Source organism: Homo sapiens, chromosome 6, assembly GCF_000001405.40.
Source record: "Homo sapiens chromosome 6, GRCh38.p14 Primary Assembly".
NCBI classification, from domain to species: domain Eukaryota; kingdom Metazoa; phylum Chordata; class Mammalia; order Primates; family Hominidae; genus Homo; species Homo sapiens.
The window spans coordinates 25,329,382-25,346,224 of NC_000006.12; the positions used below are offsets into that span (position 1 = coordinate 25,329,382).

The 16,843-nt window shown below is 41.7% G+C and overlaps 1 protein-coding gene and 1 long non-coding RNA gene across 21 annotated transcripts in view, besides 1 other annotated feature; one reads left to right on the top strand and one right to left on the bottom strand.

The window, feature by feature from the left end:
* CARMIL1 (capping protein regulator and myosin 1 linker 1) overlaps positions 1-16,843 on the top strand; it is a 341,157-nt gene that overhangs the window by 50,008 nt on the left and 274,306 nt on the right. The window lies entirely within an intron of this gene.
* The window catches only part of LOC124901281 (uncharacterized), a 124,485-nt gene that overhangs the window by 1,676 nt on the left and 105,966 nt on the right, over positions 1-16,843 (bottom strand). The gene's annotated exons all lie outside the window — the stretch shown is intronic.
* Positions 12,442-13,174: an enhancer, noted in NCBI's record as "OCT4-NANOG-H3K27ac hESC enhancer chr6:25342051-25342783 (GRCh37/hg19 assembly coordinates)". NCBI's record gives its function as "activates a minimal SCP1, AML or CMV promoter by ChIP-STARR-seq in primed H9 embryonic stem cells {active_cell/tissue: H9 hESC(primed)}" and the evidence as "EXISTENCE:reporter gene assay evidence [ECO:0000049][PMID:30033119]".

Sequence of the window (16,843 nt, forward strand, 5' to 3'; positions counted from 1 at the left end):
ATGCCCATGTTGACTGCAATTTGTCATTGTCCTCAAGGCTGTCGTTTTTTCCACAGAGCCGGCTTTGCTCTTTGACAAAGCTACTTTGGCCTCCTTATACATTTGAGTTCATTGATCCTTAGCCTAAATGATCAGGACATGACACATTCAGAAGTTTGTATTATCTTGTAAAAGCACATGAGCAAAGTCTGTCTAGTAAGTGACATTGCTGGTATTCAGACCAGGATATGGCTGAGAGGAAGCACATATGTAAATTGAATGCATCAGGGATCTTTTGGAGAAGTCAAACAAGAATTCTGATTACCTCATCAGTGATACCTAAATGCAGATTTCTTCTTGCTTCAGACAAAATTTTTCAAAGATACTCAAAGTATCTCAGCTCTTGTTGTATGTGTGTTTTGAAAGATAGGGTTGAAGAAAACAATGAAAAGATAACAGGGATATCTGTCCTCCAGAGTTGTTCAGGGGATTCAGCATATGAGAAGTTATTTGCGAAGTTTTAGTTCCCAGTCTGGGCATCAGCTCATTATCATTAGTCTCTGATATGAGTTGTTTAATGATGAACTTGTGCAAAGCACTTGATCCTATTCAGCGTCAGACATTCATTGTTAAAAGAACACATTGAGGACACTGTTGTAGGTCAGGAAATTGAAGGTAGGGAGTTGAGGGCAAGTAGAAGAGAGTTTCATTCTGGAGTTAGTTCAGTAAACATTGAATGCTCATGATGTGTCAGGCTTTATGCTGCTACCAGAGGCAGGAAGATAAATAAGACAGAACATGCAGACTTGAACAGTACGGTGTGGTAAGAGGTGTGCCCATGGTACTGTGCGATTATAGACTGGCGTTGGCCCAGTGCAGGGCTAGAGGGATGCTCCATGGTGATGACTGAGTTGAGCCTTAAGGCCCGGATGAGCTGGCCAGGTAGTGATGACAAGAGGGAGAGGGATTTAAAGTGTGAAGTTCAATTTAAGGAACAGAGATGATGCAGGAAGGGCTAAGATATGGAAGGCTTTGATGAAGATTTTGGGGAGCCAGGGAAGAAGGGGAGAGATGATCAGATTTCCATTTTGATTGCAGCTTGGTAACTGGATTACAGTGTGGCAGAACTGGAGGCTGGGAGACCAGGAAGGTTTCAACCAAGTTAGAAAATCATTTTTGGTTTAGAAGACAGTGAGGGGCTGGGTGTGGTGGCTCATGCCTGTAATCCTAGCACTTTCTCAGGCTGAGGCAGGAGGATCACTTGAGCTCAGGAGTTCGAGACCAGCCTGGGCAACATAGTGAGACGCACCCCCCCGCCCATCTCTATTAAAAAAAAAAAAAAAAGACAGATGAGGATGGGATCTGGAGTGGCACAAGCCATGATTTACCCCCTCATTAGGTGAGATACTTTTTGGAAGTGCTGACCTTTTGCCATTTTGAAGAACCAGCTTTTAGATGCTCCATTATGGACTTAGATTGAGGAAGATTGATCAATTTTATTATTTTGCTGCTTTACATTTTCAAGAGGTTTTTTTTTTTTTTTTTTTTTGAGGAGGAGGGAGGAGAAGGGAACTTACTGTAATGTAATTTTGCTAAAAGTTTCCCAGAAGTGAATCATGTTTATCAAGATAAATTGTAGAAAGAAGAAATTTGTTTGCTTATAATATTGTTTCTATGGGAAATCATTCTTCAACAACAAGCAGCAAACTTCCTGGGAGGAGGCACTCAGTATATTCTTCTGCCCCTGAGGAAGTTGAGGATTGAAGTATCTCCCTTGCTTGTACTCTGGGACTAGTTGACTCTAAGCCTCCTTCCAGCCTCCTGCTGTCAAAACAACTTTTCTTCTGTTTATTTTCATATAGGAGCTGCACAACTCAAATGTTATGTGTTATGCCAGGACCTCAGTAGCAGGTGGGGGTGAAAAGCCCTGCACAGTATTTACTGGGAAAGGATTGCCTGTTCCTGAGGCACTGCCTCCATGATAGACGCTCCACTGATGCTGCAGCCCATGATAGGCTAAAGAGATTTTGTGGGTACTAAGTTCTATTAAAATTTAGTTCAGGCTGTCATCGCTGTTCTCCAGGAAACCTCAGTACCCTTTTAATTAGCCCCACCCAGGCTGTGACCTCACCCTGATCCATTGTCTGTACAGCTGCCAGAGTGATTTTCTGAACTGCACATCCAAGTGTATCATTCTCCTACTTAAAATCCTTCAGCAGTTCCCCAGAGCTAATCCATGGGAGTGGGAAGGCAAGAATCTGAGTCTCTTGCAGGACCCGTGAGGCATCCGTCCCCCAAGGGAGCCGAAGTTCAGTCCTTCCTATTAGATCTCTAGAAAGCTACGTGACTGGACCCCATTATTCTACACTCCCTGAAGCCCACTTACTTTAATTTTTGATGCTTGTCTTTGGCTTTTACAAATTGATATGAGAAGCCAACTGTGAAGTTCAGGTCCATGTTGTTTGTTAAAGGAATCATAAGTCTGTTTTGCAATTCAATGCTTTCTTTAAGGACCTATGAATACTTGTTAAATGAATAGTTCATATTCTAAATTGCTTTTAGCATTTAGTGCCAGGAAAAAAGAACTTTTCTCATTTAAAAATCTTGTGTGCTTCGTTTAAAGAATCAATTAAAATAATAGGGTGTTTGGTTTTTTAAAAACATAAATTTTGTTTTTTTAGAGATGGGGAGGTGGTCTCACTCTGTTGCCCAGGCTGGCCTTGAACTCCTGGACTCCAAGTGATCCTCTCGCCTCAGCCTCCTGAATCACTAGGACTATTGTGTATTTGCCTTTTGACTTTTGTTGCCAGGAGCCTCAAATCTAAAGATAGGTCATAATAGTCATAAAAGTAGTGATGAACTGGAAATCTGCTGTTTTTGTCTTTCCAGCCTAGGAGCCTTTTCCCCATTTACTCGTTTGTTTACAAATATTTTTTGAGTGGTTGTCATGTGCTGGGCACTGAGAAAGCTGTAGTGAATAAGATGGGTAGGCAAAAATGGAAGTGGTTCGATTGTGCTCATCCAGGTATGAGATAATAGTGGCTTGGGTGAGTGTTTGCAGTGAAGGTGTAGAGAAGTGGGTGAGTTCTGAATGTATTTTTAAGGTAGAAGCAAGTGAATTTGCTGATGATCAAAAGTGGGGAATGAGGGAAAAAGAAGAATCCAGGACGATTCCCAGGTTTTGATTAGGTATGTGATACTGACTTTTGCTGAAACTGAGGGACATGTTGAGGAAGAAGGGAAGGACAGCTGAAAACATTTGGGAAATGTTAATTTGTAATACTTGTTACATATCCAAATGGAGATGTCATTTAGTTTTCCAGAGCTCAGGGTAGAGATTCTGTCTCCATTCCATAGCACCACCCACCATGCAAACATGCATACACACACACACACACACACACACACACACGCGCACACACACACACACACTTCTTTTAGGGAACTTCTCATGTCCACAGCAACCATGTGATTCTACTATGGTTTCAGCTTCTTCAGCCACAAAAGACCTGATACTTCCGTGCCTGCTGGCCTTTGTGCTATAGTCTCCTGGCCACAGTGATTAGTCCAGGGGGTGGACATATGACCCAAGAGTCCTTCATTGGGGTCTAGGGAAATACCGCCTTGAAGAGAGAGGCTCTCTTTTTCTGCTGGAGAGACTAAATGGTTTACACTCAGATGTGATTCCTGCTACGTGGAGGAAGTCCATCTGAATAGTACAGATTGATGACCTTGCCCAGAAAAGCAGAGATTCTACAGAAATGTGGAAAGTCCCCTCCCTGCTGTTTACTACACTGTATCCCTTGGAATGCCAGCGCTTAAAGGTGTTAAGTGAGTAAAACTTCTTTGGTCAAATAAATTTAAAGAAAGAAATTTCTTGACAGCAGAACTTTTCAGATGAGCCTTTGTAATGAATATGCGGCTGGGCATAGTGGCTCATGTCTGTTATCCCAGCACTTTGGGAGGCTGAGGTGGGTGGATTGCTTGACCCCAGGAGTTCGAGACCAGCCTGGGCAACATCACAAGACCCCTTCTCTGCAAAAAATACAAAAAATACAGAAAAATCAGTGATGAGTGCAGCTGTAGTCCCTGCTACTTGGGAGGCTGAGGCAGGGGCATCGCTTGAGCCTGGAAGGTCGAGGCTCCTGTGAGCCAAGATTGTGCCACTGCGCTCCAGCCTGAGTGACAGAGCAAGACACTGTGTAAATAAATAAAAATATGTTTTGTGCTTCTTTAAGAGGAGGATTAGTAAACAGTGTTCCCCAAATCTATTTGACAGTGGAGGGTTTTTTTTTGTTTTTAAATGGGACATCTATAAATATCTCTCAGTTGGAACCCAGCTTGAAATATTGCTTGAAATGCTATAACAGGTTGTCATTTTTTTGTAGTCATAGTGGGGATGGGTGAGTTGTTCTTTATTTCTGGCAAAACTGGTAGGCTCCATATAACTGTCATTACTTCCTGATGTTTTATAGCTTGTTAAGGAGACAAAAGCCTTTTTTCTTCTCCTAGTATTTTAACATGTTAGTACCAGATATTATCTATGCTTAGGTATGAATTTTGGCTCAGAGATTTTCTCAGCATCACACCAATGATAAGTTTCATGATCCTAGAATGTACTTTCCCTGTATTCTTTCTCCTCTGCTGGTGTTCTGTGAGTCCACGTGTATGTGTGTGCAGGACAACACTTAAAGTGGTTATTCTTTCTTCAAAGACTCAGTTCAACACACCCCTGGTGGCTGTTGTAGCTCAGGGTTGAGTAGTGATCCTGGTATTAAAGATGAGAAATTTGTTAGGTAGCCGCTATGAGCTGCAAGGTTTCCTGAGGCAGAGGTATCCGGAACAGAGTCAGGGAGGCCATGGGGCCAGAGGCCTTCCTGATTCTGGACACACAGAGTACCTTGGTTTCCCCACCCTACCTTAAAAATATATTCGGATTCACTTATACCGATTAATTACTTAGAGAGAGTGAATGTATTATAGTTATGTGAACTTGTACTCCCTGGCTGTCTCTCTTCTTATGCCTTGGTGATTTGTCTAGAGGATAAATTGCTTTTTGGCTTTTATAAATTCTGTTTTCTTCTACCAACTGCTAACCATTAACATCTCAATCAAATGGGGGAATTTGCAGTTATCAGCTTAACTAATCTCCATGCCCACATTTCTTGCTTCTCTCCCTGTTACTGACCCAGATCCTTGATGATAACTCATTGTAGATTTTGTTATCATTTAAAACCTTTTCAACTAGGTACTTGATATAATAGTTCTTATTAATTTTTAATTAATTTTATATTATTTAGTCATTTGCTGAGTTGGTAGATATTTATCTTGTGATTTCTTTTAAAAAAGTCTTAGTTCTGAGATGAACCTTTAACAGCACCCTTCTGTGGCAGTCTACTAAGCACAGTGTTAACCTGAGGTCTTTGGAAAGGCCAGCTTCTCACAGATCTAAGGGATGCAATTTGCTGGCAAATCTTTAGTTGGCCAGTCTTGACTACATCTGATCAAAGTTGGGAAGTGAGCTGCTGGAGACGGTGACATTTTCTGAAGCATGAACAGTAACAATCTGAAACCATAGGCCCTTCACACCTCTTCTGTCATTTCGTCTTTGCTACCGTCCTTGGAAATAGCCTGTCTTTACAAAGGTTTCTATATAGGTTAAGATACTTGCTTGAGGTCATGCAAATAAGAGCTAGTCTGGAGGAAAAACTCAGTTTCCTGTCTCTTCTGTTCATTTCACTGTCCTGCATGGGGTTATGCTTTTTTCTTTCAATGAAGCGTAGGAAGTCTCCTTGGGAATCATCTGTGCTGATCTCTGTGTGTGTGTTTTAAATTGCAATTTGTGTTGCAACTGGTAATTCCAGTTCTTGTATATTACTAAGGCTTTCTCTGTAGATGGATAGTTAATCCGTGAAAATCCCGAAAAGCATGCAGCTCTGTTGATTTGATTTTGTTATAAGATAAGGAATGCATAATCACTCTGGGTTCCTGGCTTTAAATTATAAGGATGTGTTAAATTATGAAAATGAAATGAGGTTTCTAAAAATTCTATATTCTGGAAAATGCTATTAAGCAATTTCCATTTTGATGCAATGTATATTTAAAAAGATATATTTTCTGTGTATAGTTGTACTGTTTTTAATCTCCTTGTGATTTTCCTGAAGCTGTGCTTAAATGTGAACAATTGTTTAAAATAAACCAATAAAGGAGAGAAATAGGATGAAGATATTTTACATGTTTTACTAATTCTGACATGTCCCCAAGTGATAAATGGTATTCAGAGGCTGTCTGTACAAGAAGGGTTCTTACAGTCCATTTCTAGACTAATTTCAGAGAACGCAGCACCTGAGTGGCCAGGTGAGCTGTGCTCACTGTGGGGCGGCAGGGTGGGCGCTAAAGCCTTGAGTCCATGCTCAATGCGCTTTCCCCTGCCCCGTGCTGGCATCCAGATTTTTGTTTATTGTCTCTAGTTTCTACATCCTTTGTAGGCAATGAAACTCACCTTATATGGAATTGTACGTGTCTTTTATAGGAAGAGTATGTGTGTCTAAGTTAATCACTCCTGGTGGGATCTCTGTCTGCTCTGTTACTGTGTTGGCCATTGTTACTGCTCTGTTACTGTGCTGGCCCAATGAAATAGTCTCTCGGCCATTTGACTACTTCAGTTTAGGCCCTAGATTGTTTTGCAACTTGCTTCCTAGTTCATCCCCCTTCCACCCATCTTCCATATTTCCAGGAGAAAAAAAATAAAAATAAAAACTTTAATGTCTCCCCCAACCCCCAGATTTTAGGTACTGTTTTCTGCCCCCTGTCTCGCTTTCTAGCTGTTTCTCCTCTCCTGTTTGCATGCACCCTTCTCATTCTGGCTTTAGGAACTACTTGCTGTCTTGACAGTGACAGGTTTCATCCCTCCATGCTTGTAGGTTGTTGCACCATCCTATGACCAGAATACCTTCCTCTCCCCATTTCAGCCATTAGTACTCAGCTTCTGTATGTGCTTCCCTAGGAAGTCCTTCCAGTGACAGACTGTACTCTACTCACCTCCCCTGTGAGCAGCCTAAGGCAGTATGGTAGCGAAGAGTGTGGGCTGTGGTCTCAGGTTGCCTGGGTTCAAACCCAGCTCCTAGCTGTGTGACGTTGGACAAGTCACTTAACTTCTTTGGGCTTCAGCTCTCATCTCTAATTAATAGTATTTAAGGTTGTTTTAGGGTTAAATGACTTAATGGATGTAAATCATTCATGAAAGTGCACATACGAACATCCTGTTGCTCACAATCTAGTATTACTAGCTTTTAAGCCTGGAAAACCAGTATGATTCCATTTTTGTACCCTCAGGCCCCTTTTATAGTACATAGGACATGGTAGGCACTCAATAAATGTTGCTTACTTGAATAAATGAAACAAAAAAGTCAGGAAACACAGAACACTTATTTTAGTGTTTGTTAAGTTATGCCCTGCTTTGTTCCAGAAAATGATTTATTTCAATTAGGGTTTCAGATGTACCCTTTAAGGAGCAATGTATGTATCTGTAAACTTTATATTTTCCTCAGAGTCACAAGCCGTTTGGAATTTCATTTTGAAATTCTCTTTCCACTAACATTTATAGTTTTGGCACAGTTGCCCTTTAAAAAGACAGCGTATCAATTGAACATAAATATATTGTGTTTAAACTATATGCCTGCTTGAATAAGTGCAGTACTTATTTGTCAGGGCATATATTATGTTGGAGTATGATGTCATGAGGCTTAAGGAAACTAATGCTTATCATTTGTTAGTGCTTAAAACAAAGTAGAGATAGCCAAATGCATTTCTCTACTTCCTTATTGCCATACAGCTCTCCTTGTAAGTTAATAAGTATCTTATTGCAAATCAGCCCTGTATCTGTTCCAAATTCAAATGTTGATGGTTGAGCTTCCAGTATTTTCTCCCATATATTCACACTGAATAACATTTCCTGAGGATTGCATAAGACCCATTTAACATTTGTGAACTATGAGACTTCTTTGTACATTTCTGTTTCTTTAGTTGTATTACGGTAATCGGGCATATGTCTTCTAACCTTGATGATCTCACCTCTATATAATATAAGGATGTTGGGAGAAATATGAAATCTAGACCAACTCTAAAAAATTGAATGTCAAGGTAATTGTCTTGTCACACAATGGTGTAACCAGCCAACATCCTCGAACAGATCCGTGTCCATAATGGCATCATTGACTTCTGAACTGTATGGTGGTGTTCTCTGAAAGGTGCTATAGAGAAAACACAAGTGTGAAGGGCGATTGTGATGGTTGTGGGTCAGAGGCTCCTCAAGTGGAGTGAATGAGGCCAGCCAGGAATGAAGACAATGCAGTGAATGATTCTTTTGTTGCATAGTAAAATGAAGTACTAGAAAATGTTCTCTTAACAAAGAATCATGTTTGGTCAGAGTGGACGTGATATAGTGAGGAGTTTTTGTAAATTCTTCATTTAGCGACTAATATTTTGGCTCAGTTAAAGATATGAAAAACATTTTTTAACAAAAAGGTGTTAGTGGCCGGGCATGGTGGGCTCACTCCTGTAATCTGGCTTTAGGAACTAACTAGCTGGTTCTGACTAGCGTATGAGGGTGGGGTTAGGTTTTCCCTATCTTCCCCCTTCTTCCATAGCACTTTGTGAGGCTGAGGCGGGTGGACCACCTGAGGTCGGGGGTTCAAGACCAGCCTGGCCAACATGGCGAAACCCCGTCTCTACCGAAAATACAAAAATTAGCCAGGCGTGGTGGCGCATGCCTATAATCCCAGCTACTCGAGAGGCTGAGTCAGGAGAATCGCTTGAACCCAGGAGTCAGAGGTTACAGTGAGCCGAGATTGCACCACTGCACTCCAGCCTGGGCAACAGAGCAAGACTCTGTCTCAAAAAAAAAAAAATAAAATAAAAGGTGGTAGTATAAAAAAAGGGGCACTGTATTTTATAGTTACAAATACTGAGTCATTAATGTTACAGGCGTACAATGCTCCACTTGCTATGAGAGTGTGCTGCTAAGCTCTGTCTCCAGAACTTTTGCCCCTTGGTAGACTCTGTCTTGCACAGGTTTCTTGTCAGATCATAGTCCTCATTTTCTGTGCATAAGATGGAAATAGCATGCAGATTATACCACAGATTGTCCTAGTAGTTCTTTTATATGTTTTACTCAAAAAAGCTGGTCCTACTTTTTTTTTTTTTTTTATTTCTTGACTAGTTTTGTTAGGAGAATTTACACTTTTGGTAGTAGTTTTGCCATTATGTCATTACTTATGAACAAATGTAGTTATTGCACTTACTTTATAGAGCCAGCTCAGAAAATTTGATTTCAATGAAATTCTTTGTGTTTAGCACTTTTCCAATAAGTGGGCCATTGATTCGGTTATAACAAACTATTTTGATGAATGAGTTGTTCTGTTTATGGAAGGATTTTACACTTAAATGTTGCTTCTTGGGTTGTGCTATTTTTGTACTTTGAAAGTTACATAAAATGAAAAGAACCAGCACATAAGTTTTATATGCTGAGAGTTGAAGGGTGATCCCATTGTTTCTGAATTTGAGTCTCTGCCAGCATGAATCCTCCTATGAGGGTCCCTAAAGGCTATATTATAGTTTCGATGAAATGTATACATTCTATGAATGAAAAAAATATAGAATTTCCTTTTCATGATTTTTTTTCTTAGTTTGTTCCCATTTTTGTCCCCATCAATATAAAATAAATTAAAATGACCACAACAAACTCAAGGAGGTGAAAATCAAGAAATTGTTACCTGTATTATGGACAGGTGGTGTAGCGTCACCTCTCTCATACACACCCACTATCTCCAATAAGCCTAGCCTGGGAAGGAGAATATTTTCCTGTTAGCTATTTGAGTCCTCTTGCGAAGTCATTTGAATATGTGAGTTCTGGACATTGCAGATAACTAGTTGGTTCTGACTAGCGTATGAGGTTGGGATTAGATTTTCCCTATTTTCTCTCTTCTTCCATAGTGAGATTTGTGGAGGGTCAATTAGAGTCTTCCTTGACACAAGGTTATTTCTTTAATGTAGCACAGGGGAAGGACATCTTTTTCCTTTTATGAATTCTGCCCAATCCTTTTCTGGGCTGATCTTTGATTCCTATCATGGGGTCTGTCCAGTTTTCAGTATTCTTCCTTGTTTGGGTATTCAGGTAGTAGATATCTCAGATATTCTTCCTTGAGTACAAAAGTATCTCCCAGCAGTGTGGCCTTAGGCAGATTTGTGGTCTTTTTGGCTGTGCTGTCCAGTACTGGAAAGGATACCAGATAGAAGCTTCAGTTCTCAGCAGGGTCAGGTTGCCTCTGGCTGGGCAGTGGGTGTCCAGATGCAGGGATAGTGGTGTAGATGCAGGGCAGTGATTAAAGGCTTTGGAGTTTGAATCCCAACCCTGCTCAGTGTGACCTTGGGCAAGTTACTTACCTGTGTTAAGCCTCAATAACCTGTGCCATTGGGGCCTTTATAAAGATTAATGAGGTGTAATATAAAATACTTCACATAGTCATTTTCTGGCACATACTCAGTACGTGGTGGAGGTTATGGTGATTTTATTAAAATAGAATTGGCTGTAGATGCCCCTCCCCACTTTCCAAGATCCCAACATCATGCCTAGTCTGCCTGCATTGTTGTCGAGCATGAAGAAATAATCGATTTTGTAATTTATTCGGCTCCTTATTACTTTTCCATTCTTGCAGATCCATTGCCCATATCCTTAAGATGTTTTCTTTAAGCCTTACCCTAGTCAGAGACTATTTTCTAAATAGAACTAAAAGAGAAATTTGATTGAGCATCTGAATCTGACCTTCTCCCCAATTAACCCAGTTGGGCAGACCTTCATTTAGAGTGTCATTTATTTTTCAAGCCACGTGGTAAGGAAGCAGAGGGTTCTCCTTACTTCTAAAGTCAATTTCCATTAAAACCTTCAGTGTTCAGTGTGTAGCTTAATGCCTTTTAAAATGATTGCTATTTTTGAACCAGTGTTTTTGTCACAACGTTTTGAGTGTAGAATATTCCTTATTTGACAACCCTGAGCTTGTAGGAGTTTATAAATGGCTAAGAACAATCTGATTAGAATGTATTGCTTTTGGTTGGAGGCCAAGAATATTGGATCATTGGTTTAGGGTATGACACTTAAAGAGACCAAAGAGCAGAGTACATAATGCCCAGATAGGCCAATTCATGTAGCTTTGTTCCATAATGTAAGATTGAACCCCAAACCCTGGCCACCTATCTTTGAGATATATGCTGTTGGCCACAGGAGCATTAATTACTCCGGGCAGATCAGCAGACCATGAACTACATGCTACGAGGGGAAATCCAAATGCCTCAATGTACAGGATAGTGGGTCAGTAGAAGAAACCTCACAAAGGAAAGCTGGAGAAGGCTGTCAATGAAGGTTTTTTTTTTTTTTTTTTTTTTTTTTTAAGTCGTGTAAGAATTGCTAAGTGACAGATCAGAGTCCAGAAGACAGGAAAGGAGTTAGGAAATTCTGAGATATTTAAATTCTGACCATGTAATAAATGATTCCCTTGTGGAAGATAAGGGGTAAGTACCAAAAGGAAGGAGTGTCACAATGTGGCAGTTTTCTAATGAACTTAGGTCTTAAAAGGAAGCACACACAAGATAGAAGGCTCACAATCAGGAGGGACTGGCAGTGATCTTAGCTCATGTTAATATACTGTGTGTCAGGCAGTGTTCTAAGCACTCACATCCTTGTTTGATCTCATGATAACCTTATGAAGTAGATGGTATTATTATTGCCCTTTTACAGAGGCGTAAACGGGAGGCTTTGGGCGTTTAGGTATTTGCTGTCATTTACATAGCTAGTTAAGTAACTGCGCTGGGATTTAAGTTGAGGTAGTCAGATTCCAGAGAGATCTGAGACTTGCAGAAGGTGCCAGAGACAATAAAAAAAAGTAGTTGAAAGAAGTGTTCAGAGTCATAAGGAAAGAATATATTTGCATCTGAGTGGAACTGATGGTGGCTGTGGGTAGTCATAGAGCATAGCCTTTTAACTCCTGTTGTCTATCTATCTTTTATATATAGAAAACTCAGAATGCCGGCTGAGCATGGTGGCTCATGCCTATAATCCCAGCACTTTGGGAGGCTGAGGCGGGTGGATCACCTGAGGTCAGGAGTTCAAGACCAGCCAGGCCAACATGGTGAAACACAGTCTCTACTAAAAATACAAAAATTAGCGTGGTGCACACGCCTGTAGTCCCAGCTACTTGGGAGGGTGAAGCAGGAGAATCACTTGAACCTGCAGGGCAGAGGTTGCAGTGAGCTGAGATTGTGCCGCTGCTCCAGCCTGGGCAATAGAGCGAGACTCTGTCTCAAAACAACAGCAACAACAACAGAAAACTCAGAATGTCAAAAATATGTTGGAGAAGTAATAAGACAGACATAGTTTTTCTAACTGAATTTAAGCCTCTTAGCCCGACAGAATTTCTCCACAGGGTTCTGAGAACATTTTGGATCCAGATTGTTCAACCAAGTCCATGATGATCTGTGAGGAAGCATGGAGAACAGAAATAACACTGGAAAGGCGGAGGAGGGGGCACAGGTGCACTTTGGTGCGGAAAAGTTTGGGAAGCATTGTTTGAAAGAAGTTGATATCTTTAAATATTCAGGGCTAGTTGCTAGCAACTTACTATGGCTAGTTGTTGAAAGCTGCAGTGAGTCTGTTCATTAGCTAGTGGGCAGCCCACATTTAGAAGAATGTAGGTGTGAGATGGGAGAGACTTTGGCATAAGAATGGTTCAGATGGAATGGGAACACCAGGGGGTGATTCGATCATTAAGCTTTCCTCTGAGAATGTGATTTGGTATCTTTGAAACTAGGCCAGAGATTTATTTGGATCTTTGGTTTTCCATTTGTGAAGAGGTCATTTAGTCTCATTTCCAGATGAAGAAATTTGGGTTCAGAGAGGATGGGAGTGACTTTCCCTAAGCCACTGAGCTGTTTGGTGACCAAGGCAGGCTGGATGCTCACCTGCTTTCTCGCTGCTCTCTTCTTACTGCAGCTCACCTGTGGACTTGTGGACTGGGCCATCAGGAGTCTCTAGGAGGCAGCATTGATTTTGGGATAGGCCTACCTGGGTTCAAATCCCAGCTCTGACACTTAATCTGTAACAGTGTTACATTATTCTGAGGATTAGTGAAAAGGGAACACTTAGCATATAGGAAGGGCTAAGTGTATGTTCTTGCCTCTTTCTAGTTAGGCTTGAAATCTTTCTTTATTTTATGTACTTATTATTACTAAGTTTTCTAGCACCTCCCAACTCATGACCAAAAAGTTTCATTTTCATCTTATTTTTCTCTTTGGATGATTTTTATAAGGGTATTTCTTATAGTTTCTCTATATTTAAATACTTTATACTGTCTAGGGTATTTAGGCAAAGGATTCAACTACAGGGCTTTTAGAAATCCTTTCCAGCTCTAAAATTATAGGATTTAATTGTTTTTGAAAAAGATGCCTTCTACCTTCCTCCTCCTCCAGCTGCACACGTAGTTTACTGGTTACTGTGGTAACTGCACTCTAATAATCCTGTCAGGAAATCTGATGCAACTATCTGTCTAATCTTATTTTCCAGACACAAAACAAGCACACGGCTTCCTTCTAAGAATCCTTCTAAAGCGCTCCAGCCTAAGCATTGTTTCTTCTTGTTCTGATGTTTTTTAAGATTGCACTTAGAGAAGAATGCACCTCATTGGGTGTTTCCTCAATGTGGAATGTTTTATAGTATCCAGTGACCAGTGCATCACTCTAAAGCGGTGTGTGTTTTCATGCACTCTCCTGGAGTTGATGAAATTTTGGGTAGTTTGAATTATAATTTTAAAAAATGCAGAATAGGGATTAGAGAGGATTTAAATTTATTTTGCACATAGAGGATTGAACGTAATTACTCAGAGAGTTAGCTAAAATCAGTATTTTTGCTTTTTTTTTTTTTTTTGGACAAGCCAGTTTTACAAAATGTCCCTCTGCTGATCCATGAACAAGGGATAAGTCTGTACCTTTTCATCCTCCCTCCCTTCTTCAGCCATTCACCTTCCTTAGTAGGGGTCAAGTGGGATCCCTGTGATGCTACTCCTGGCAAGGAACCTCTGTACTCCCAGCCTCTCCACCAATCTCTACTTGACCCTCAGAAGCAATCTCATCACACGTCTTATTCCCGTTTATGTCAGTCACCATAGGAAGCCTGGACTCCCGTGTCATCTCTCACTCCTGTGTCCTGATCCTCATTTGCCTCTTTACTTCAGCTTTTCCAATCCTGCTTCCCTCCCCTAGGGAACTCATGAAGCCCCTTCACTGTGCAGTTTGTGTGCTCACCATCAGTCATCAGCAAACCCCCCACTTCCTCACCTTGTCTGGGAGCATGACCTTCATCTCCTTGCTTTATTGGACACTTGGGTCTCTCCTGGCAGTACTGCCCCTCCTTCAGCTGTCTCAAGTGGCCACCCTTTTTCATCTTTCCCGTACACCATGGGTAGAGCTGGGGTAGCCTCGTCTATGCTATTTTCATAGTGCTGCTCCTCCTTCTCCTGAAACGCCACCTCCTCTGACTTTCAGGTCTCTGCATGGCCCACTTTGCCTCCTTGTCACTAGTCCTCTGCTCTTCCACGTGGTCATTCCCCTCTTTCTTTGAAAAATTTTGTTTCTGGTTCACTGTCCCTGTCTCCAACACTACTTCTGTGAGTTCTCCAGGATTTCAGTCCCCATGTTCACTCCATCCCACGGTCATATCTTGATCCTCTCATCACCGGTGACTTCAGTGCCTCCATCACTCACTTTGAAACATCCCACTCTTATCACCACTTCCTCTTCTCTCGCAAGCCTCATGTGGTACCTCCAACCTCAATAGTCCATTGATCCACCAGGTTTTTCAGTCCATTGAATCCATCACGTCTTCACGGACCCACACTCACCCCATGTCCTCACTTCTCCCCTTCCCCAGCTTGGAGTCCACGATCAACCACTGTAATCTCTACCATGGCATAGATCCTTATCACCCTTGACCCCTCAGGCTTGGTCATTCTTGCTTGACTAAATCACAGTTCTGGTTAAATCCTTCCCTCTCTTCACCTGTTCTGTGCTTGCACCCATGAGGCCAAATGTGCTTGGAGAATACCACAGCACCATATTGTTTGTCTCACTCTAAGCTGATCACAGATCTTAAGTGGGCCCTTGATGCTACCTGGCAGTCTCATTGTGTTTCCACTGTCTCTTCATTCCCACCACTCTCTCAGACAACTGTTGCATACTTTCTACTTGCTGTTCAAACATCCATGGTCTCCTTACACTTGGTTGTTTCCTTTTTCACCAGAAACCCCAGAAATAATCAGTAGAGACTGCCACCAGCACACCCACCACCTGCCTGCGTCTGTGCCCATGCTCCCACCTCCTTGGGCATGATGTTCTATCTCCATCTACACGTACCTTCTCAAGGACATTGCTGTATGAAATTTTCCCTCCCTTTCCTATGTCATCTATTTTCTTCTTTCTACCTGATTCCCACTGGCATATGAGTTATTATTTTTCTTATTAAATAAAAACATCCTCTCTTGACTCTGATTTCTCTTCCAGCTACTAGCCAGTTTCTTTTCTTGCTTTTACTGCAGAACGTTTGAATGAGTCATCTGTATGCATTAGGTCTAACATCTCCCCTCCCATTCTATCCTGAGCCCATCACAGTCAAGTTTGCACCTTAACTCACCGTACTTCACTGGCATTGTGCTTTTCGGGGCCACGGGTAGCATTTCCTTGCCGAAGCCCATGGTCAGGACCCACTCCCTTCTTACTTCATTTACCAGCAGCATTTAACAGTCAGTAAGTCCCCTCCATGAAATACATTCTTTACAGGACTGCTTGGACACACATGCACCTCATTTTTTTGGTTTTCCTGGTCTTTCTCAGTCTCCTTTGCTAATTCCTTATCGCTCCAAACTCTAAGCAAAGTGTTTCAGGGTACTTGTTCCTCATCGTGTCTACTCTCAGTGCTTTAAATATCACCTGTAAGATGACTTCTGCATTCGTATTTGTAGCCTGGATCTCTCTCTTGAACTCCAGACCCCTTCATCTGGCTGCCTGCTGGACATCTCTCCTGGGATGCGTCTAACAGGCATTTCAAAACATAACATGCCCAATCTCCAATCTGCTTCCTCCACAGTCATTCCCATCTCAGTTAATAGCATCCTGCTCTTCCACTTACTTAAGAGAAGACATTTGGTGTCATTCTTTTCTTTTATTTCTTTTTTGAGACAGAGTCTCCCTCTGTTGCCCAGGCTTGAGTGCAGTGGCGTGATTTCCGCTCACTGCAACCTCCACCTCCCAGGTTCATGCAGTTATTGTGCCTCAGCCTCCTGAGTAGCTGGGCTTACAGGTGCCTGCCACCACGCCCAACTAATTTTTGTATTTTTAGTAGAGATGGGGTTTCGCCATGTTGGCTAGGCTGGTCTCAAACTCCTGACCTCAAGTGATCTGACCACCTTGGTCTCCCAAAGTGCTGGGATTACAGGTGTGAGCCACTGCGCCCAGTCTGGTGTCATTCTTGATTTCTCTTTCTCACATACCCCATCAGCAAATCCTATAGGCTCTATCTTCAAAACGTATCCAGAGTTGATTTCTTATCACCTTTATTGCTATCACCCTGGTCTAAGCTGCCATAATTTTTCACCTGGATTAGGAGAGTATCTTTCTAACTGGTCTTTCAGCTTCCAGCCTTATCCCCTTCAGTCTGTTATCAGCTGTGTGCAGATTACGTCACTCTTCTTCCCATCTCATTCAGAGTAAAACTGAAGTGTTTACCGTGACTGACAAGCTGTGGTGTGCCCTAGCCCTCCATTAC